A 24601-nucleotide genomic window follows, 5' to 3' on the forward strand; every position below is an offset into this window, starting at 1 on the left:
CTTGGTAAGTGAATGTGATGATCTAGAAGGAAAAAGGCCAGAATTGAGCACCTATAGAAGTTCAAGTCCTAGTAATTATTGTAGTTCAAGAATGTTGCTTGTTGAATGTCACTATATTATTATAGGTCTTTAAGGAGTACATTTGTAACTTCCTGTTTTCATTTCCTTTCACCGCAGAGAAATCACAGAACAGAAACTCTGCTTTTCTCTGGCCAACTAATCACTACTTGAGTTTGGAAATATAACTAACATGCCTGTAGACAATGCAAAATGATAGTAAGCAATACAACTGAGATTGGCCACTATAAAACAGAATCCTAAAATTCAGGTCACAGTTTTGAGCAATCTTTAGAGCATTGTATATGCTGAAGAGTATTTCCCAGTAATTGAGGTGTGTATAATATAACTAAAAAGCAGAGGATCACCCTTTCCAGGGTATTTCAAGAGTTTTTCCAGAGAGATCCTCCTGGTATGTCCATGCCAGGTGACGAGCCCAAATTGGGTACCTTGCAGGGTTACGGATCCTGAGGGGACTTATCTGATACAGAATTAAGTCTGTAACCAGAAAAGCTCTTTCTGTCCTGCTCTACCTTAATGATAGACAGCTCTGGCTTGGATAAGACGGTTATAGAGACTCATCTATAGGAGTTTCATGGTGAATCTTGCAGTGATCATTAAAAACAGAAGCCATTTTTGTTTATTTTGTTTTGCTATTGTTTTGGTTGGGCTGAGGGCAGGCTGCCAAAGGAGGGAAAAGTGGGACTTTCTGGGCATTCAATAAGTGTTCATCATTTAGTGGTACAGCATGGGGGAGGGCCACAGAAAACTCTAATCTGGATTTCCACAGAAGACAAACATTTGGAGCCTGGGGCCATCTTTACCAGGCAGAAATATAATTCAGGTTTTCAACAAAAGCTCAGGATCACAGATTCAGCAGACATCTAAGGTCTAGTCCTGCGGACTGGCAGTAGGTTCTGCTTGTTTGCTCTGATTAAGAGGCCGGCTGCTTGCACCTTGACTTTCATAGTCTTCATGGTACAGGTGGAAAAGGGATAATAAGTGCCACGCTCTAGGTGCTGGTGAATGAGATGATGAGCTAGGAATGCTGAGGACTTAGTTCCCAGGAGCCCTAACAAGGTCTTCGGTCATCAGCAAGACAGAGCCTCTTTACTAAAAGGGTGGGAATCCTGTTGTACTCTATTTTTACTGAAGACTGGCATAAACCCAGTCTAACAAATGATATTTTGAATGTCTCATTGACAGAGATGCCAAATCCTTCACTTATTTTGATGCTAATTACTACCAGGATGTAATTCTAAAATTATTAAGCTTTAAAAGAAAAGTCAGAATCTATGTGTTGAAAGGATAAGTGATTTTCTTTTTTTCTTGAAACAGTGACTCAAGCTGTTGCCTAAAGGAGTTGGGGCTCCTGATTTCTGAGCTAATTTCCTTTTTGTTCTTTCATACTAGCTTTCCTCTTGGTTGGAATCTGCCTATCCTGTGGTCTTACATTCCTAAAGTTAAATGACAAGGAAGTTATTTGCAGTCCACAATAACTATTTTTCTTTAAAGTTTATACATGGTTAGATTCTAAGAAAAGTCTATTAAACTGTGTTACTGGTAAATAAGTCATGCCACTTCTTTAATTAAAACTCTCCAATTGCTTGTGGAGTCCCTCACACTAAAACCCCAAATTCTTACCATAGTCTACCTAGCTATACCCTCTAATCCTCTCCTTCCAGTTTTTCTCACTGCACTCCAACCACAGCTTCCCTGTTGAGCTCAAATACAGTGATTCTCACCTTTGGCTGCACATTACAATCCCCTGGGTGCCTCTTAAACAGAGATGCCCAGATCCCATCCCAGGCATTCTGATTTATCAGTGGCACAGCCCTTGATATTGACATTTTCAAAAGCTCCCTGTGCCTCTATGTGCAGAGAGCACTGGGAACATCTGGAGACTGCAAGAGTGCACTGAGTGTACACACAAGCAAGGCAACAAGCATGGTTCCTGATGCATCATATGTACTCAGCTCTTCAAAAAATATTTCCTGCTCTGTTTAATTACATTTATCTTCTTCCCTTTTTGAAAAATGGTCACCAAAAATTGGAATTGGGAATTTTTTCATGTTTGAAAAAATGATTATTTCAACTAGCAGGAGGATACAGACAACATTTAGAAAGTTTCAGCAGCAGCTTAAAAGAGCCCTTAATGAGTCCTGAAAATTAATACGAAGCCCTCTCCTTACCAGAGGTAAGTTATTTCCTGGCTTATGGTTCAGTATTTGTGCTATTAGTATGTGAATAACTAGTTCTCAAACTTACCTCCTACTGCTCAACATCAATTTCTGGCAAGGAAATCTAATAGGTCATACTAATGTGCCTTGATACAGAAATGTAATTTTTTTTTTTTTTTTTTTTGAGACAGAGTCTCGCTCTGTCGCCCAGGTTGGAGTGCAGTGGCGCAATCTTGGCTCACTGCAACCTCCGCCTCCTGAGTTCACTCCATTCTCCTGCCTTAGCCTCCTGAGTAGCTGGGACTACAGGTGCCCGCCACCATGCCCAGCTAATTTTTTGTATTTTTAGTAGAGACAGGGTTTCACCGTGTTAGCCACGATGGTCTCGATCCCCTGACCTCATGATCCGCCTGCCTCAGCCTCCCAAAGTGCTGGGATTACAGGCGTAAGCCACTGCGCCCGGCCCAGAAATGTAATTTAATCAAACTGAGATATACAGACTTCTCTTTCTGAGGATACCTGAGGGGATATGTGCCAGTCAAGACCTTGGAAATAGCATTTTAATAATTTTTGTTGTTAAAGTTATCCCACATTTAATTATAAATTTGGTTCATCTGATTTGTTTTGTGTTACTGGGTGAATGAGGAAGATAACTGGCCTTGATTTTTCACCCTGAAGAATTACATTTGTTCTTATTCTTTTTATGGAAAAGGATTATCTGTTTCCAGGGATCACCGAGAATTAGAGTTGGGTACAGCTCAAAAGTTTCATGGCAACCTCAGCCTAAGCCATAGTTGATTCTAAATTTCAATATTATTTAGGGCAGATGAATGTGAAACACTTACAGAAGGAATGAGGAAGGGCGATTAAATGTGATAATCTGGGGAGTTGAAGTTTGAGGAGGGCCTGGCAGGAGATCGTCCTCTTTTAGACTGTTTGGAATTTGATGGAGTAGCACCCACAAAGAGAGTGGGAGGAGCTTTCAGAGGGAAAATATTTTGGGTTCAGCTTCTAACACCCAAACTCCCTTGGCTGCAATTTTTTAAAAAACCAAGTAGCACTGAAGGAGCGCAGTAAGTAGCAAGCGAATCCAATAAAGGCAAATTAATTCCCAAGGCTGGTTTCCTTTCCAGCACAACAGCACTTTAGAAAAAGACTTTACTAAGATTAAAAGAGGTTGAGCATGAAACAGTAACCATCGAAACTTTTCCCCCCGTCTTGGTCATGAAATAGAAATTTGGTGTTTAATTTTGGTTGCCATGCAAGTCTTTTGATTCGTGAGGGCTAGGAAATTGCTCTGTTTAGCATAATCCCAGAGACCACTGTGAGGGATTGTATGAACATCTCACAGTTGCCAGCTGAGATTAAGCCAACTCACAGCCATCCGTGTTAGACCTGCAAGAGAAAGTGTATGAGCAGAGGCACGTGGCTGCCTCAGGTGGAAGCACATCTTCATACATCGAGTGCACCAGCAGAAGCCCTGATGTACCCCTCTGCATTTTTCTTGAGGCGACATTATCAAGCTACTCCTCTTGCTGAATTCACAGATTTCTGGCATATGCTATATTGCATGTAATGTCATAAAAGTATAATCTTTGCATTTAGAAAGGATTTACTCTAATCCATATATAGTAAGAAACAGCCAAGTAGGAGTACAGGTGAATGTAAAACCAATCACTAAAAATGATTTTTTAAACAAGCTTTATAGAGAACTTGGAAACATCAAAGCCAAACACTCTAAAATTTGTCCTCAGACAAGAAAACCAGCAATTACGTTGAAAAAGTAATGACCGTATACTCACCAAATGGCCAGATGTGTCAATAGCGGTGGCTATTACCTTTCATAGATGGTGGTATGTCCTCCCCTCTTGCCCACATCACTGTCATGGCTAAGTGAGACTGAGCCATGATCTAAGCCCCTCAGTCCACTGGGTGGGGCTAATCAATGGTAAGAATAATGATTAAGAACGGAAGGAAGAGGAAACGCCCTCAGAGTTTCCCCACCATCTGCCGTGGATGGCATCTCAACTTGAGTGAGTGTAAGAAGCACATAGGAAACTTGTTACAAATGTAGATCCCCAGGACCTACCTCTATATTTTGATTCAGTAGGTCTGGTTTTGGTGGCTGCGATTTGCACTTCGGTGGAGATTTTCCACTGCCTTTCTCCAGCTTCACTTCATACTAGACCATTTCTTCCTCTACATTGTAGACTCCAGCTCTAACAAGTTCTGAGAATCCAATGAGCTGTGTTTGCCCATACTTGGAATTATTTCTTCTTTCTCTCTCCCTCCTCTCTCTCTCTTTCACACACACACACACACACACACACACACACACCCCCTTGTGTGACAGTCACACATTGAAAACTATCACACACTGCCTTCTCTCCCCAGTCTCCCTTTTTTGGCACCTGTAATACACAATGGTGTTTTCTCACTCACATGCTTTCTCCTTCATTGACTGCAAACTTCCAAGTGTTGGCACTGTGCTTATTCATCTCTATATCCTCAACTATACTATTCTCAGTTTAGCATCTGATGTTTAATAAGTGCTCAAAAAAATTTTGTCAAACTAAATCAAATGTTTGTTGAAGCAAAGAATTATGGATTTCAGCTCATAACTTGTCCTTTAATAATTGAGACTTGACACAATTAAGAGAGTGGTAATTTACAGAGTTAGAAAAGTGGCTTTTCGTTTTAAAAGTCAGGTAAATATAAAGTTACAAAACAATTGAGAAAGAACAATTGAATATAATCTTGTGCCTCATATGGACTCCTAAGTACAAAGCTACTTTTGTAAAATAAGAATGTCTCATCATTAGGATTTAACTTTTTAAATATTGTTCTAAGTTTATTTTCTGGAGTCAAATTGCTCAGGATTAAAAATAAGCAGATTTTATCTTAATCAAAAAACAAGGGCTTCTCAGAGCAACATGAATGACGTTCAGTTTTTTCTTTTCTCTTAATCTTATATTTGATTTTCCTTTCTCTCTAGAAAGTTTAATAGTGAAAAGTTACCATAGAGAAGTGACAGGAGTATGTAGTTCTTCTTCCCTCTGCTAGAAAACATTAAGAAAAGATCATAAATGGGAACATCATATGCTGATGTGGAAGATGAGACAGCTTTTTATTAATCTTAAGTTGTCATGTCCACAACTGCACAGGGAGGTGGGCTCTCAATGGAAGCAAAGACATATACGTTTCTGCCTTGCCTACCTTAGTGGGTTGCTGTGATGGGCATTTAAAAAAGAAAAAGGAAGAAACTGATACAAAGTTGTTTTGGCAACAAAGCTATATTAATGTGGATAGATAGTCCACAGGCCAGATAAACTGAAATACAGTAGCAAAGTATCAAGGAGTAAGCTGTTTCTAACACTATCTATACATTCTGTTCAAGTATTCTGAGGATATTATCTAAGATGTCTCTATATGCATATTTTGGGTGCACCGCAATGTATGCATTTGTGATCTTAGTTCTGTTAGAGACTCTCTATAGATTTGTATTTGAGAGTAATAAATTTCAGTTTGGTCATTGGGTCTGTTCAGATGGTGGCAATTTTCCTATTTCCCTGAAGACTAGTGTTATTTATTCAAAGCTGTAATTATTTGGATATCTTCTGAAAACCTGGAGGACTACCCCTTCCTGCAGCTATCTTGGCTGTGGAATGGTGTGTGGGGTGTCGGGAAGCACATGAGCTTTGGAGTGAAGTGGACCTTGGTGTGACTCCTGGTTCTAATACTTAACTACCTGTGGGCTTTAAGGCAAATTGTTTTATTTCTTGGAGCCTCAGTTTCTGTGTTGGTAATACTTGTGCATGAGATTAAGAACTAAATGTGGTGTTTGTGAAAATGTCTAACTAGTACAGAATCTGATACACAGATTCTCCATAAATGCTAATTTTATTTTGTTTTAATTTTACTCCTATGTCCTTTGGTTAACTCAATTACTTTTTCTGTTAGTTTTACAAATCTTCCACCTCTAGAGTTTACAAATGTTATCCAAATCCCACTCATTTTTTATGCTTGTGTCTTTTTTGTTATTTTCCTCCTTCCTAGAATTTTTTCATATCCATTTCTGTATCTTGCTTGAATTACTGGTTTATTACCAATGTACTAGGGTAGTTAGTATATAGGTCAAGAGATGTCTCAATCTCTAAGTTGAAGGGCTTCTGAGTTTACATGATGTTATTGATTCCTCTGAACCTTATGGTATCTAGAGTTGATACAAGCTGTATTTGCAATTCAGTTTTCTCTTCTTTCTCTCCATCATCTGAGACATGTCCTCCCTCAAACTTCAGCCTTGAATTCTGAAACATCTCAGGTCTTTGGATACTCAAACTCAAGCTAGTGCTGAAGTAGTATTAATTTTGTTATATTTGAGTATCTTTTGCATCCTACTTTTTGGAAATTAACTCAAAACAAAGGTAGAAAATCTATATAAATCAACTGAAAAAGTGCTGGTAGATGAGAGGACCCATGAGAATCCACTCAATGTTACTCTCTTCTGTATCCTAATTTCCTAGCAGTTATGATAACTACCTGAAGTTTCCCTAAATGAACTTCTGCTCTTTGATTTCTGGTTGAGAGTCACTATCCAAGCAATAACTCTTTTCAAGTCTGCTTCCTTTCACCTTGTCTTTTTGTTATTTCTGGGACTGGGACTCTGTATCCTCCAAGGTTTGAAAAATAGCCAAACATTATTTATTATTTTTGCAGCCTTGTAGGCATTTGGAAAATGTTTGGCTTCAAATTGATTTCAATAAAATAGTTGGCTGGAGTTACAAATGAGCATTTTGGCTGGAATTGTGTTAAATACCAGTTTGAATTTTGGTAAAGCTGCCCTGAATACATCTATCTTTGTCAATGGATTTGTTTGTTTATTAAGTGCATACTTTCTGGATTTTTGTGGGAAAAGAAGGTCAGACAGAGGAACATGAGGATTAGAAGTGATTACGAACAGGGAAAGGGATTCATGGAGAGTGGTGTCTAGAGATAAGGCATTACGAGAAGGGAATTTGAGTCATAGTGTGCATAAGTGGGTGTCGAGTCCAAAGCCAAAGCCGGAACTGCCATTGAGCTGAGCTTCCCACTGGCATGTTTTCCACATTCTGAATGGTGGAGACATTCTTGAATAGGTAGTCACAATTAACAACAGAACATAAGTATTACTGATACAAAGGATGGTTCCCATAAAAAGGCTTTATCCTTCTCTAGTTCAAGCTTCTGCAAAGCCTTAAAAAGAAGCCAGCTCCACTTCAAGAGATATGGTGCATTCTACATCCCTGTGACCCAAGCGGATAAGTAATGTCCTCAGAGAAAGCCATTATTAGTAGGTTGGATAATGATAATAGTATGAGTAATTGGAGAGAAATAAAGTAGTTTCTGTTAGAATAGTCATTGGGGGCTGCCTATATGTAATTGGGTTGCAATCCTTAAGACTAAACTTATGCCAACTTCTCTTTCATAAAAAAAGAAAATTTTGGAGGTGCTCTTTCTGCAGACCAGAGACATAATAATAATTAACTTCAGTGACATGAGCCACTGATCTGCTCCATGGAATTGAAGTTGTAATGGCTGAATCAGCTTGGACCTACCTTCTCTGGTAGAGTACATCCACAGTAAAAGAAGGAGAAAAGTTTTTCCTGGAAATATTTAGGAGACAGTGTTTAGAATCCAGATCTCTGAAGATTCTTGCAACAGAGAAGAAATGTCAGTCTAAGTTCGTCAGAGTTTTCTTTTTTCTTTTTTTCTGGAGATGGAGTCTCGCTCTGTCACCCAGTCTGGAGTGCAGTGGCACGATCTCGGCTCACTGCAACCTCTGCCTCCCGGGTTCAAGCAATTCTCCTGCCTCAGCCTCCTGAGTAGCTGGGACTACAGGCACCCGCCACCATGCCTGGCTTATTTTTTTGTATTTTTAGTAGAGACAGGGTTTCACCGTGTTGCCCAGACTGGTTTCGAACTCCTGAGCTCAGGCAATCCACCTGCCTCAGCCTCCCAAAGTGCTAGGATTACAGGCGTGAGCCACCACGCCTGGCTGTTTGTCAGAGTTTTCTAAGAGGATACTTGGTTTGGGAAGATGGAAGTGATGCTAAAGGCAACAAACATGAAAGCATGGAAGATGATTAGATACTTGCAGCCTGTAAGCCTGTAAGTCTCCACGACAGAATGTTGGGCAAGAGTGCAAAAGGGTAGACTTACCCATTGTCAGCTTCTTGGAGGCAGGGGCCAAGTTTGAGATTTCTTCTGCAATTCTCGCAGTGCCTGACTGGAACTCAATGGCTTCTTTGAGGAGTTGAGTGCCATGCCACAATCTGGCAGGATTCACATCCTATAAGAAGGTGTTTATTCTAGAAGCAAATGCATCCCCATTGTCAATTTAACTGTCTAGTGACCCAGGAAAAAGGCATAACCCCTACAAAATCTCAGTTTTCTCACTAAAAAATAGGATCCCAGTATCTATCTCACAGGCTTGCTGGGAGTTTAAATAAAAATATTTACATAAAATGCCTAACAATGTCTGACATGGAACCATACAGTACTAATAACAGTGTCAAAAGCTGCTATTTAATTAGGGATGACCATGTTCTTAGCCTTCTACTAAGCATTTTATGTAGATTATCTCATTTAATCTTGACAATAACCCTTTCAGGAAGGCTGTTACAGAAATCAAACTGAAAATGGGAGAATAACCAATAGCAATACCTTTCCATGGAGTTACAAAGCAACATGGAACTCATTTTTCAGAAATATGAGTTCCAGCAATATAGTGAGAAAAGGAGACTGAAAGAGACAGATACCAGGAGGCAGCATCATTCTCTGATTTTAAGAGCTCCTTTTGAAGAGGACCCTAAGAAAGCCACCTAGGAAGCACCTGTAAAAGGACACCTGGATCTTTATAGGGCAACAGCAAGGGTGGCTAGACATAGTACTGTGAGGAAAAAGATGAATGAAACATTTTCTCAACTGCTTTGGAGATAGTAAGGGAAATTCAGGACCAATTAGAGAAGACAGGGGCTCAGTTTAGGGAAGAAAGCCCATAGGGGAAAAAGGCCAAGGGGATAATACCTGATGCCTAAGGCCTGAGGTCCTAAAAACAATCTTTTAGGATGGAGATTGAAGAATGCACGTCCCTCAGGCAGGGACAATACATACTCAACTATTCTGATTGGCTTGCATATGTTTGGGGAGCGAATGCCAGGAGTCTTCATAAATACTTACTTTTAAGTTACTATATTGAGGTAAATACACTTAGAGAAAAATGCTCAAATCATAAGTGTGCAATTTGATGAATTATCACAAGGTAAACACACCCACGTAACTACCACCCAGGTCAAGAAAGGGAACATTACCATCTTTATAAATATTTACTACTTAGAGTTTTCACATGCTTAGTTTCTTACATAAATTTGTGTCTTTCTAACATAGACATTTAAAGTAAAATGTGGCCAGTTAGGATGTTTTATGCATAAAGTGAGAAAAGTGGCTTGTTTGAAAAATGAGTTGGAGAAAACACTTGAAATCCATCCAATTCTATAAAAGCAATCTATTGAAATCTGCATAAATTATAACTAAAACCTGAAATAAGGGACAATTTTATACACCTTCCAAATCCAACAGGGTACTGAAAAATTGAGGTTCAAGGAGGAATCCCTGTTTTATCATTTTTTGTTTTAAAAGCACTATGCTGCTTAAAGCCTTCAAGAAATTACAGCTTTTGGCACTGTCCCAAGCACATTGTGTGCTTAGTAAATATTTCTTTATAATGACAATGGTGATGTTACCTTTTTTATATAGTACATGGTGATCTTTGGCCCCCTAAAGCAAAAATCTGTGCAAAGATATATGACTTTTAGTTCTCTGCAGTTGTTGCTTGGAGCCTCAGGAGAGACAATATTCTTTGTGTATTAGTGGTGTGTTTTATACACGGATTGAAATTATTTGCCCTTTACCTCTATCCTTCTCCACAACCAAACACAGGCTCTGGGTTTTGCAGATATCAATAAGGAAAGAAAATAAGCAGCAAAGCTGGGTGTAAGTCGCTCACATCTGTAATCCTTGCACTTTGGGAGGCTAAGATGGGAGGATAACTTGAGGCCTAGAGTTGTAGACAAGCTTGGGCAACATAGCAAGACCTCATCTCTACAAAAAATTTAACAAGTTAGCTGGGTGTGGTGGCACACGCTTGTAGTCCCAGCTACTTAGGAGGCAGGAGGATTGCTTGAGCTCAGGATTTTGAGGCTGCAGTGAGCTACGATCAATCACTGCACTCTAGCTTGGTCAACAGCAAGACCCTGTCTCAAAAGAGGAAAGAAGATGAACAGAAGTATCACAGAGGAAAACAAATTGTGAGTTAAAACCACGCCCTTTGCTTCAAGGAGTCAATATTACAACTTAGTATAGCAATTAACCACACCTTATATTAGATCAGATTCCATTATGTGCATACTTGTACTTTAGTGGATAGTCATTTGTGAACTGAAGAAGGTTCTCCATGGCAGCCACCATGGTGGGTGATGATAAGAAGAAAATAAAAAGACATTTGCTAAATAGGACAGTTATCTGACTTTTATAGACTATAATATCCTTAATGGATTCTTTAGTTGAAACTTTACAGGATACAGAGTTGACATGATATGTACATTTGATGATGAATAATGAATATGGTAACATTTACCTGTTTGTGAATGCAAACTCAAGCTCGGTCTTAGGAACTCCCCAAATGATCCCTGTTATGCTAATAATATATTAATTACTTGTTCTGCCTTGATTTTTAGGTTGGCAGTAACAATTAGGAAGAGATGAAGCATCTATTTCATAGGACTATGTGCATTTTATGTTGTTTTTGTGTTCTCAGCAACAGCATTTAGCATTTACCCACTGAGGTTAAAGTATAAATAGATGTCAAATTTATATAAATCTTTCTTCCTTGGCGTCTACTTTAGCCAATGGGTTATAATTTAGTAGCTTTGATTTTGAGTCAACCATTTGGCTTACATGAAAAATTGAGTAACTCTTTCAGGAACTTTTATTAGAATGTAGACTGTTCAAGTTAATTATTTAGGGATAAGTGTCATGTGGTAGAAAGTAAACTGGACTGTAGTTTCAGGTTTACCACTAACCAGCTATATGTCCTGGAGCCACTTAATTTTTGGGCCTCAAAATCAGCTAGTGGTTAAAATTGTGGGCTTTGGAGTCAAGCAGACCTGGTTCAAGGCCCTTATTAAGCCTCTAGGAGTTTCAGCTTTTTTTCATCTGCAAATTGAGACCAGTAATAGTCTCACTTCATATAACATTGTTATGGGGACTAAATGGGACTGTGTATGTCAAATGCCCAGTATACAGTCAGTGCTCAATATATAAGAGTGCTGGAATAAGTGGCCACTATTTTCCTTTCCAAATCCAAAGATTTGATTTCTGTGAATGGTGGAGCTTCTGAAATGTCTGTCAAGATTGTATCCAGAAAGGAATTTCAGGTCCTTGAGAGATGGCACATTGTAGCCAAGCTTTACTTCTGCATAGGCCATTGGGCATTGGTGTATTTTTGTTACACATTTATTGAAAACCCTGACATCCTTTGAAAGAAAAGAGAGGGAACCCTGTTACCCCATCAGAGGAAGAAAGACCATGTGGAGTCATCTAGCACAGTCCTTCAAGAGAAGCTGTTTGCTTGCCTTAATTAAGGGTTGTGTCTTTAGTATCACTAAGGCTAGGGCAAAGAGGCATGGCTGCGCCCAGGAAGGAAAATGATCAAAGATACATGGCCAGTGTCCTTAGGAGGGGCCGATTAGGAGGCAAAATAGTCCTCCCACCAGCATCCTCTCTCTTGCAGTTTCCACAGCAATGGGAGAAGACTGTGGTGGTGAGAAACAGCAGCAGGAGTCTAGGCTATCCTCAAAGCTTGCCCATTCACTCTAAGCATAATGACTACGTCCTACATCTTTCCAGTTCTTTATTATTAACAAATATTTTACCAGCCATGAGAAGTAAGCAGGAAAGTGAATAATTTGCCTGTTGTAAAGATCAGGAAAATCAGAGAGGCTTAATTTAAGTAGGGGAATCAGATACTGAAAACCTACATTTCCTCAGTAGACACTGGGGACCCCAAAAGGAGTGGGGAGGCAAGAGTTGAAAAACTACCTATTGGGTACTATGTTCACTATTTGGGTGATAGGGTCAACAGAAGCCCCAAACCTCAGCATTACACAATATATCCATGTAACAAACCTGGACATGTACCGCTGAATCTAAAATAATTTTTTAAAAAAGTAATAACAATCAAAAAGTAAACATGCATTTATCATATGACCCAACAATCACATCTCTTGACATTTATCCCAGAAAAATGAAAATTTATGCTCACACAATAATCTTAGACTATATTGTTTGTAGTAGTTTTGTTTGTAATACCAAGACACAGACACAAACTAAGTGTCCTTCAATGGGTGAATCATTAAACAAACTATGCTGCATCCATATCATGAAATACTACTCAACAGTAAAAAGGAACAAACTATTGATACATGCAACAGCTTGGATGGATGTCAAAAGAATTAAGCTGAGTAAAAAAATTCAATCTCAAAAGGTTACCTACTATATGATTAAATTTATAAACATTCTAAAAATGACAAAATTATAGAGATAGTAAACAGATTAGTGGTTGCCAGGAGTTAGGGATGGGGCATCAAGAGGGTAAAGAGATAGGTGTAACTAGAGAGGGGTAACACCGGGATATTTGTGGTGATGAAATAATTGTGTATCTTGACTATGGCAGTTGTTACACAAATCTACATGTGGCAAGTTGCACAGAACTATACACATGTACACACATGAGTGCTTGTACACTGGTGAAATCTGAATAAGATCTATGGGTTGTATAAATGTCAATTTCCTGGTTTAGATATTTTACTATAGTTATGTAAGATGTTCCGTTGGGGGAAATTGAGTGAAGGTACATAGAACCCCTGTATTATTATTTTTTAACTGCTTGTAAGTCTATACATTTTTCAAAATAAAAATTTGAAAAAACAAAAACAAACAACATAAAACCTAAGTTTCCTGACTTGTAGTTCCATGCTTGTTCCTCTGTGCTATTTTGTCTGAGATGTAGAATTATGCACATTTAGGTAATTTATTTCCTTCCAATTTATGTCTTTTTGAACTTCAATTTCTTTGTTAGGAGAAAAAAAGGACTATAAAATAGGAGTGCCAATAATACCTTCTTCACTGGGTTTGTGAGAAAACTAAGTTAAATAATATGTGTAGAGTGCTTCATGCAATAGTGACTATTGGTCGTTGTTATCAAATACTTAAAACACTCCTACTGCCTGGGAGGATGCTAAATTCCTAGCAATGTTTTTATTGTTTCCTTTAATGAAACCTCATGTTTTGAAATATTTTGTGTAACAAATTGCATATATGGTTAATAATTTTTTTCTTTTGTTACTATCAAAGGCATTTTAGACTGTTAGTTGGAGCTTCTGATTAGCAATTGCATCAATATTGAGTTGAATTAAATCCAATGAAAGCAAAGAAACCTGATATTTGGAGAGCCTTCTTATCCTCATCTAAGGAAATGTATTTCTTTCAGGTCACCTGAAGTGGTGAAGTGTCTAAAACATCTTGTTGATCTCCAGCACTGAGTTTACAGACTCTAGACATAGTTGGGCTCCACTTTTCAATGAACAAGCCAAACCTTATTATTATAATCTGAGTGAGTTGACATTTTGTGTGTGATCTAATTCAATTTTTGAATGTTACAATTTTTTCCATCACATCATGGGAAATTGGTGTGGTCCAGAAATAATCCAAATGAATTCACTAAGAATGAAACTGAAGATGAATTTTTAACATGCTACCAGAAGTTATTGATTAACAGGCATACCAATGTTTCAGATACTAACAGATACATAACATTATTATAAATATATAAAAATCAAATTATGGCTTTTATTCATTGTCATTGAAGACCAATTTCAATAATAATTTTTAATACTTTTTATTTTTTGTTTTACCTTTTAGTCATGACATTTTTATTATATTAGAGGAGAAGGGAAAATAATTTTTTTAGTATATAGAAATTGGATTGCTTACAGACAAATTAAACTTAGGAGGGAAAATTATAAAGGATGTTGAAAACTATAAATTTAAACAAACATCTCTTATTTTGACAGGATATGTTTCAGAGAGAACAAATCTTGAGTCTTTCAAATATTACTGGGCCAGACTAAAATAATTTCATTGTGAGAGCATTTTCCTTCTCTGTGTGCAGTCTAAGTGCATATTTTGTGCTCTTAGGAATAACTTTCCAAAGCTGTGCGAAGAATGTAGCAATAAAATCTAATAAGAATTATGGCTCATGACTTGAATGATGTCAGTACCCTTTTAATCCTCCCAAACATGAAAACGTTTTCTCCTCTTAAATAAGATTTCTTAACTCCTTATTTCTAAGGAAATAAGTACATCTGAGCAATTCTATTGGCAAAGTAAGAGTTAAATGAAAATGTTTCTTTCCATTATTATTAATGCTTATACTTATTAAGACCACTACTTTAGAAATGTATTCTAGACAATATTTTTATGAATACATATTATTTTGTCTGATTATTTTAGTGTTCCAGTTATAATCTTTTGCTCTCTCTAAGCCAGTGGTTCTCAAACTTGAGCATGAATCGGAATTACCTGGAAAGCTTGTTGAAACACAGATTGCAGGGCCCATTCTGAGTTTCTGATTCAGGAGGCCTCTAGTGGGGTGCAAGAATTTGCATTTCTAACAGGTTCCTAGGTGACGCTGCTGATGCTAGTCTGGGAATCAAACTTTGACAACAACTGCTTTAAGCCATGTTACAAACAACCTTCTTATTTTAAAATTTAATTTAGTGGGATTCAACCATCACGAGGCATGTAGTCACCTTGGTTTAGAAGAAGTTAAAGTTCAGTAAGTGGGCTATAGCTTGGCTTTTTGGCCATGCTAGATTTATTCCAGGCCAAAGAACTGCTTATAACAAAAGCATAGTTGATGAAATGGTTCGATGCTTGAAGATGTCAGACTGTAGAATCTCTACGGGTAAGTGTGTGATTTCCTCAGTGACATCACATTTGCCTGCAGAGATTTTCCAGTCTGCCACTTTGAAGTTGTACTTAAGATAGAAAAAAGTTGTCGTCATTCTACAGTGATCTTTCTGGTCTTGCTAAATTTTAAAACTATATTTATTCAAGATTAAAATTGATGGGAAGTAGGAGTTATAGCTGGGATTCAGATAGGTGCATAAATGAGAATGGATACTCTCTAATTTTGCCACACATCTCCATAGAGAATGAAGGAAAAGATGAAAAGTGAAGTTTCCCAAGCCACAACCAGTGGATGAGACTAGTATACCTTGGTCATGGAAGAAAGACGAGGCTTCTTATGCCATCATTCATTTTTTTTTCTCAAATTATGCTGTTTGTTTCATATGTGCTTATTTTACCAGTGTGTTAGTCACACCAAAAGCCTTATGGTCAATCCAGGTAAATATCCTTGCATTTCAAGCAATTTTATCTAACGTTAGACTTTGCAGTTGAGTTTCTTAGTCTTTTGTAATTTAGTTATGCCTAAGTAATAACAAGATTAGATGAGTAGAATGAGGAGATGTGCTTTTTACTTTTATTCTCTCCATCTTTCTTCTGCCTAATAATGGTCTTATGATAATACCATCACCTGCTGCTAATCTTTAAAGTGCTGGAATAATGCATGATATGCAATATTTACTTTAGAGCTCAAAAATCTAACTTGTGAATATTGTGATATTATTAACACTACAATGTCGGGTTTTGGGTCAATGTCAACTATAAATTTATTCCAACATTTTCCTAGAACAGGGACTTCATATATTTTGTTCTCTTCTATATCCCAGCACATGGAATAATTCCTGGCCTATAGGAGGTGCTCAGTAAACATTTATTAATGATTGGCTATTACTTAGGATGTTTTTTGCAAATACTTGTTTACCATTAGAAAGGAAATATATATATATATATTCACATATTTTATTGATATTACAGTGACATTTAATTTCAGACAAGATAAAATGAGAGAATATTTAAATATGTAAATCTTGGTAATAAAGAATCCTCCTACAATAAAATGCATTATAATACAATTTTTTGTAATACTTGGTTTAGGAGTAGATTAATAACTTCCTTAAAGTATAACAATGTTATATTATGTTTTTCAGGCATGTAGTTGAATTTCAGATGATGAGTTTTTTAGTCCGGGTTACGTCCAAATTTATGTAATAATGAATCACAAAATTAGGGTTGATTATGTTTACACTACACAACACAGTGTCTTGATTATCTGTTAATCTGCTATACACACATCCTTGGACCTCAAGATGACTTTAAAAGCGTCCTCTCAATTGCATTCTGACTTTCCTAAATAAACCATAAATAGAAACTTAACAGTAAATCTCTCATAAGTGTGCAGAGGATATAACAGGTGGCTCTGATCTGATGTAAGTGTAGCTAAAATAATGTGTTGAAATAATTGCAGCTTAGAAAGATAGAAAACATCTGGGCTTCAAGGGAGAACACTTCCATCCTTTTTGCTGCTTTTAAAAATAGAGAACTACATCATTCTGGGTTGCATAGAAAGAAGGGGCTGTGTTAGAAACTCTATGATCCTCAGTCTGTTCATCTAAAGCTCCAAAGGATGAGACTACTATACCTTGGTTGTGGAAGAAACACTAGACTTCTTAGGCCATCATTCATTTTCTTTTCTCAAATTATTATTTTTGTTTATTTGTGCTTGCAGGGCCTGATTAACAGTGTCACTTGTTCTCTTGAAGGAAAACTGAAGTTGTGAATGATGGAATTATAGTTGCCATTTCTCCAATTGTTGATATCTTGTTTGTTCCTTTGCTCCATGGGAAGGCATGGATGGAACAGAGCTTTGAGACAGAATCCTCATTTTAGTTGCCTCTATGAGTAGGCTGTTTAGAGGCTGCCAGCCTATAATATGGGGCTCTTGTTAGTTTAAGTACTTAGGTAGAAAAAGACCCTTCTATAAATGCAAATTTTTAATATCTAAGCATTATCTGCCACCAACATTAGTACAGATGAATTTATAAGATTATTTCTAGCAGACAGTAAAGACCTGAAAAAAAAATTGAACAGTACAGTTACATCTTAAAAGATCAGAGGTCAAGATCTACCCAGTGATTCTCAACGCTGGCTGTATATCAGAAACATTTTGGATTTATGGAGAAGACAGATTTCCAAGCCCCAACCAAGACCTACCTCCTGAACCTGAACTTACAAGATGTGGACTGGAGAAGTCTCTTTTTTAAGAAAAAAATTAGTAAACTTTATTTTTTAGGGCAGTTTTAGATTCACGCAAAATTGAGTGGAAAGTATAGAGAGTTCCTATATACCCTATCCCCATCCATGTACAATCTCCCCTGCTAACGACATCCCCCACCATAGTGATAACGTTTGTTATGATAGATGAACCTACATTGACACATCATTACCACCCTCAAATCCAGTTTACATTAGAGTTCATTCCTGGTGTTCTCTGTGTTTTGACAAATGTATAATGATATGTATCTACCACTGCAGTATCATGCAGAATAGCTTCAGTGCCCTAAAAATCCTCTGCCTATTCATCTCTTCCTCCCCTCTAACTCATGCCACCCACTGAGGTTTTTACTGTTTCCATAGTTTTTGCCTTCTCCTGAATATCATATTGTTGGAATCATACAGCATTTAGCCTTTCCAGATTGACTTCTTAACTTGGTAATATACATTTACATTTCCTCCATGTCTTTTCATGGCTTGCTGGCTCATTTCTTTTTAGTGCTGAATAATATTCCTTTGTCTGGATGTATCACAGTTTATTTATCCATTCACCTACTGAAAGACATTTTGGTTTCTTCCAAGTGTTGGCAATTATGAATTAAGCTGCTGTAAACATCCATGTGCAGGTTTTTGTGAGGACGTAAGTTTTCAGCTCCTTTGGGTAAATACCTAGGAGCGTGATTGCTGGATTGTAAGGTAAAAGTATGTTTAGTTTTTAAAGAAACTGATGAACGGTCTTCCAAAGTGGCTGTACCATTTTACATTCCCTTCAGCAATGACTGAGAGTTCCTGTTGTTCCACATCCTCATCAGCATTTGGTGCTGTCAGTGTTCTGGATTTTAGCCACTCTCTTAGGTGTTTAGTGGTACCTCATTTTAATTTTCAGTTCCCTAATGACATACAATATCAAAAATCTTTCATATGCTACTTATTATATCTTCTTTGGTGATATGTCTATTCAGGTATATTGCCCATTTTTAGATTGGGTTCATTTTATTATTGTTCAGTTTTAAGTGTTCTTTGTGTATTTTAGATAACAATTCTTTATCAGATTTTTTTTTGCAAATATTTTCTCCCAGTCTGTGGCTTATCTACTCACTATCTCTTAACATAATCTTTTGCAGAGCAGAAGTTTTACATTTTAATGAAGCCCACCTTATCAATTATTTCTTTCATAGGTCGTGCCTTTGGGGTTATATCTAAAAAGTCAATGTCATGCCGAAGGTCATCTAAGTTTTCTCTTGTGTTATCTTCCAGGAGTTTTATAGTTTTGCATTTTGTATTTAGGCCTATGAACCACTATGAGTAACTTTTGTGAAGGATATAAGATTTGTGTCGAGATTATTATTATTATTTTTTGCATGTGGATGTCCAGTTGCTCCAGCACTATTTCTTGAAAAGACTCTTTGCTCCATTGTATTGCCTTTGCTCCTTTGTCAAAGATCAGCTAACCATGCTTGTGTGGGTCTATATCTAGGCCTTCTATTATGTTCCATTAATCTATTCACCTATTCTTTCATCAGTACTACACTGGCTTGACTGCCGTAGTGATACAGTAAGTCTTGAAGTCAGGTTGTGTCAGTCCTCCAATTTTATTCTCCTTGAATAATGAGTTGGTATTCTGGATCTTTTACCTCTACACATAAACATTAGAATTGGTTTGTCAATATACACAAAATCACTTTCTGGGATTTTGATTGGGACTTCTTTGAATCTATAGTTCAAATTAAGAAGAACTGACATCTTGACAATATAGTTTTCTTACTCAGGAACATGGGCTATCTCTCTATTTATTTAGTTCTTCCTCCATATCTTTCATCAGGGTTTTGTAGTTTTTCATATAGATCTTGTACATCTTTTGTTAGATTTATAGTTAAGTATTTCATTTTTGGGGTGTTAATATAAATGGCAATGTGTTGTTAATTTCAAATTTCATTGTTCATTGCTGGTATATAGGAAAGTGATTGACTTTTATATATTAACCTTATATCTTGCAACCGTGCTATAATTGCTTATTTCCCGGAGTTTTTTTGTTGATTATTTTGGGCTTTCTATATATATGGTCATGTCATTTGCAAACAAAGACAGTTTTATTTCTTCTTTCCCAATCTGTATATTTTCTATTTTCTTTTCTTGTTCTATTGCATTAGCTGTAACTGCCAGTATGGTGTGAAAAATCAGTGGAGAGAAGAGACATTCTTGTCTTATTCTTGATCTTAGTGGGAAAGCTTTGAGTTTCTCACCATTAAGTATGATGTTTGCTGTAGTTTTTTTGGTAGATATTCTTTATAAGTTGAGGAAGTTCCTTTCTATTCCTAGTTTGCTGAGATTCTTTTTTTTTTTTTTACCATAAATAGGCATTGCTTTTGTCAAATACTTTTTCTGCATCCATTGATATGATAATGTGATTTTTCTTCTTTAGTTTTCTGATACGCTAGATTACATTAATTAATTTTCAAATGTTGAACCATCCTCGCATACCTGGGATAAATCACATTTAGTCATGGTGTATAATTCTTTTTATACATTGTTGAATTTGACTTGCTAATATTTTGTAGAGGATTTCTGCATCCTTTTTCATGAGAGGCATTGGTCTGAAGTCTTTTTTTGTAAAGCCTTTGTCTGACTTTGGTATTAGGGTAATGCTGGCCTCATGGAATGAGTGAGGAAGTATTCCCTCTGTTTTTATTTTCTAAAAGAGACTGTAGAAAACTAATATAATTTGTTCTTTAAATGTTTGGTAGAATTCATGGGCAAGCTTATCTGGGGCTTGTGCTTTCTGTGTTGGAAGGTTATTAATTATTGATCTAATTTAACTAATAGATATAGGCCATTCACATTGTCCATTTCTGTTTGTGTGACTTTTGGCAAGCTGTGTCTAGGAATTGGTCCATTTAATCCAGATTATCAAATCTGTGGGCATAGAGTTGTCCGTAATATTCCTTTATTATCCTTTTAATGCCCGTGGTATATGTATGATGTCCTCTACTTCATTTCTGATATTAGTGCTTATCATTGAGATATTAGTCTTATCTTTTTTTCTTATTTAACCTGGCTAGAGATTTATCACTTTTATTATCTTTTCAGAGAACCAGCATTTGGTTTTGTTGGATGTTTCTATTGATTTCCTGTTTTCAATTTCATTAATTTCTGCTTTAATTTTTATTTTTTTCTGCTTTCCTTGGATTTAATTTTTTTTCCTAGTTCCCTAAAGTGGAAGCTTAGGTTATTTATTTCAGATCTTTCTTCTTTCATAATATATGCATTCAATGCTATAAGCTTCCCTCTAAATGTTGCTTTCATTGCATTCCACAAATTTTGATAAACTGTATATTTTCAATTTCTCTTGAGATTTATTCTTCGACCCATATGTTATTTAAAAGTTTGTTAGTCTCTAAGTTTTTTGAGCTTTTCCAGTTGTCATTCTGTTATTGATATTTACTTTAATTCCATTACGTTCTAACAGCATACATTGTATGATTTCTATCCTTTTAAATATTTTAAGATGTGTTTTATGGCCCAGAAAGTATTCTATCCTGGCAAATGCTCCATGTGAGGTTGAGATGGATGTGTAATAAGTTGTTGGATGAAATAATCTATGGATGTCAATTATATCCCAATGATTGATGGTGTTGTTGAGTTCAACTATGTCTTTACTGATTTTCTGCCTAGTGGATCTGTCCATTTCTGATAGTGGTAAAGTCTCCAATTATAATAGTGGATTTATCTGTTCCTCCTTGCCTTTCTATCAGTTTTTGCTTCACATAGTTTGGTGCTCTGTTGGGTGCATACACGTTAAAAATTGTTATGTTGTTTTAGAGGACTGACCCCTCCATCATTATGGAATAGCTCTCTTTATCCCTCCTAACTTTCCTTGTTCTGAAGTTGGCTCTCTCTGAAATTAATATAGCTACTCCTGCTTTTTTAAAAACAGATTTTCTGCTTTCTTTCGATTAATATTACATGGTATTTTTTTCTTCATACCCTTACTTTTAAACTTTTTTTTTTTTGAGATGGAGTTTTGCTCTTGTTGCCCAGGCTGGAGTGCAATGGCGTGATCTCGGCTCACTGCAACCTCCACTTCCCTCGTTCAAGCAATTCTCCTGCCTTAGCCTCCCGAGTAGCTGGGATTACAGGTGCCCACCACCATGCCCAGCTAATTTTTTTGTATTTTTAGTAGAGATGGGGTTTCACCACGTTGGCCAGGCTGGTCTCAAACTCCTGACCTCAGGCGATCCACCCACCTCAGCCTCCCAAAGTGCTGGGATTACAGGTGTGAGCCACCGCGCCTGGCTTACTTTTAATCTTTATGTGTCTTTATATTTAAAGTGGGCTTCTTGTATACAACATGTAGTTGGGTCTTGTTTTTTAATCCAGTCTGACAATCTCTGTCAGTTAATAGGCATATATAGACCATTGAAGGTTAAAGTGATTATTATTATAGCTGGATTAATATGTAACATATTTGTTATTGTTTTCTATTTGTTCTTCTTGCTCTTCATTCCTATTTTGTCTTCTACACCTGTTCTGCTTTTGTAGTTTTAATTGACCATTTTATATGATTTCATTTTCTCTTCTTTCTTAGGACATAAGTCACATTAAAAAAAATTTAGTAGTTTTCCCCCAAAGTTTGCAATAGACATTTATAATGAATTCAAGTCCAATTAACAATATACTGCTTTATGAGCAGTGCAAGTACATTATAATAACAAAATATTCCTAACTCTTCTGTTCTCCCTTTTGTATCATTGCCATTATTCATTCACTTACATATAAGCATACATTAGCATACATATGTATGTTTATGTGTGTGCACATATATCTAAAACATATAAGTATACATAATTGAATATATCATTGCTGTTATTTTGAACAGTTTTGTGTTAAATCATTTAAGAATAAGAAAAATAAAAGTTTTATTTCACTTTCACTGATTGATTCTCCATTGCTCATTTCGTTACGTAGATCTGAGTTTCTAACCTATATAATTTTCTTTTGCTCTGAAGAACTTCTTTGAAGAATTTCTTGCAAGGCAGGACTACTGGCCAACAAATACTTTCAATTTTTGCCTGAGAAAGTCTTTATTTCTTCTTTACTTTTGAAGGATAATTTCACAGTGTATAGAGTTCTAGGCTGGTAGTTTCTATCTCAATAGTTTAAATATTTTACACCACTCTCTTCTTGCTTGCATGTTCTGAGGACCAGTCAGGTGTAATTCTTATTTTTGCTTCTCTATTGGTAACGTGTGTTAGACCACATGTCTGGGTCCTCCTGAGTTTTAATTCTTAAACTTGTCCACACTGATCTTCTAGCAATTGCAGTTCTGGTTTTCTAACCCTGGCACTGACTCCTGAGAAAGAGACTGCTCATAGACTTCTGCTCTAGTAAGTTGTGATTCTATTTGTCTGTCTGTCTCTCCAATTTGGGGGACAGTGATTTGTCCTGTGACCTCACTTCTCTGACAGATCTAAGAAGAGTTGCTGATTTTTCAGTTTGTTTGGCTTTTTTACTTGTTGTTAGAGTGGTGACTTCTTAACAGCCTAACATGCTGGACCTGAAACTAAAACTCTTGATGACTTTACTTTTTAAGATGAGTCTGATGATTGGATAGGTTGAGAGCTGGTTTTTAAACTTTAAAAAGTAACGCCATCTTTTTTCAAAAAATATATGAATTTATAAATTTATAAAAATAATAAAATTGATAAAGTGGGGCTATTCTGGTTGAATTGTGTGTGTTAGCGAGGGAGGGAACCAGGGTTTTGTCCTCTCAGCCCCTTTCCTCATGACAGGCCAGCCTCTTCAGAACTCCCCGTTTGCAAATCACACTGGTCTTTCCAGCATGGGAACTGCCAAATGATCTCTGACAGGTCTTGGAGGGTATGGTGTGAAAGCTCTTGGTACCTGGAGTGCCAGTTAGGTGAAGGAGGAACAGCACTCAAAGGAGCACAGACTTTAGATATCAGTCTTAAAATTGCCACTGGAAAGTGAAGGGGACAGGAGGGTGATGCATTTGGAATCAAAGTTAGAAATCTGTTTGCTGGCAAAAAGACCATTTTGCAACTTGCCTTTTTTAAATGACCTTACCCGTGTAGGGTGTTATTTAGTTAACCCAGCCTAAGAGGATGTTTTAAAGGTGGAGAATTGCCCTGGTGATGAACAAATATGAGAAATAAACTTCCAGTGGGGCTGGGTTGCCTGCTGACTGTGATTTCCTGATGATCTATAACAATGGTTATTCACTAACAGCTGGCGCATGTCTCCCCCGGACAAAGCCACTGGGAAGCACAGGCGCTCTGATTGGTGAACCAGAACCGTTTCCCTGGTAACAGTTAACTAGCACGTGTTTTATTGTTTCCAACTGCTTTTCCTGGGGTATTTGCAGGTGGTGGGAGATGCTTTCTTAAAGAGGGGTCATAACCTCGTGAACTTTCAGATGTTGCAACAAATTGGGGAACAAAACATTTTTCCTTTTTCAAATATATTAAGTAAATCTTATTACATAGCATTTTCAAGACAGATGCAGCCCAACAGTTTTTCCTTTTTGCCATTATTTCCAGATGTTATCAATTTTAAAGTCAGCATTCCATTTTAAGAACAGGATCTATAGGAAGGTGATATTAGTAATACGTATAGCAGCAGAGTATTATTTTGCCCTTTTTGGAGGTGTGTTCTGGTTTTACATTTTGCTATAAAATGTGAGATCAAACCGTAAAATGTGAGTGTATTTTTAATTGGCCTTTTAATCGTTTGTATATTTTGCCTTTTCATTAATTAACTCAATGTTTTTGCCTTTACTGGTCGTTTTCTTTGTCATTTTTAATGCACCAGAAAAATTATAGTATTTTTATAAAATACAAGACTAAATAAGACTTGATTATATTAGAATTTTCTTCTATATTTATTTGACATGTTTTTGAAAGGATTGGTTAATTTCCAGATGGATAGCTCCCTCTTCTGTCTGGTTTGCAGAATTCACATCTTTTGAAAGCAGTGATGGAAGATGAAGTATGTATCACATAATTCTTTAT

At 36.8% G+C, this 24601-nt stretch overlaps 2 long non-coding RNA genes and 2 other non-coding genes across 4 annotated transcripts in view, besides 1 other annotated feature; 1 reads left to right on the forward strand and 3 right to left on the reverse strand.

The window, feature by feature from the left end:
* Positions 1-24601, forward strand: part of LOC105374690 (uncharacterized) — a 231734-nt gene that overhangs the window by 39614 nt on the left and 167519 nt on the right. The gene's annotated exons all lie outside the window — the stretch shown is intronic.
* The window catches only part of MIR217HG (MIR217 host gene), an 83921-nt gene that overhangs the window by 22032 nt on the left and 37288 nt on the right, over positions 1-24601 (reverse strand). The window lies entirely within an intron of this gene.
* Positions 13-102: an enhancer, noted in NCBI's record as "active region_15789". NCBI's record gives its function as "activates an Ori minimal core promoter by ATAC-STARR-seq in GM12878 lymphoblastoid cells {active_cell/tissue: GM12878}" and the evidence as "EXISTENCE:reporter gene assay evidence [ECO:0000049][PMID:35858748]".
* Positions 3513-3622, reverse strand: MIR216A (microRNA 216a). Its single transcript, NR_029629.1, has one exon. It is a non-coding gene; the product is annotated as a microRNA 216a (primary transcript).
* MIR216B (microRNA 216b) lies at positions 15277-15358 on the reverse strand. Its single transcript, NR_030623.1, has one exon. It is a non-coding gene; the product is annotated as a microRNA 216b (primary transcript).

This window comes from Homo sapiens, chromosome 2, assembly GCF_000001405.40.
Source record: "Homo sapiens chromosome 2, GRCh38.p14 Primary Assembly".
Classification (NCBI taxonomy): domain Eukaryota; kingdom Metazoa; phylum Chordata; class Mammalia; order Primates; family Hominidae; genus Homo; species Homo sapiens.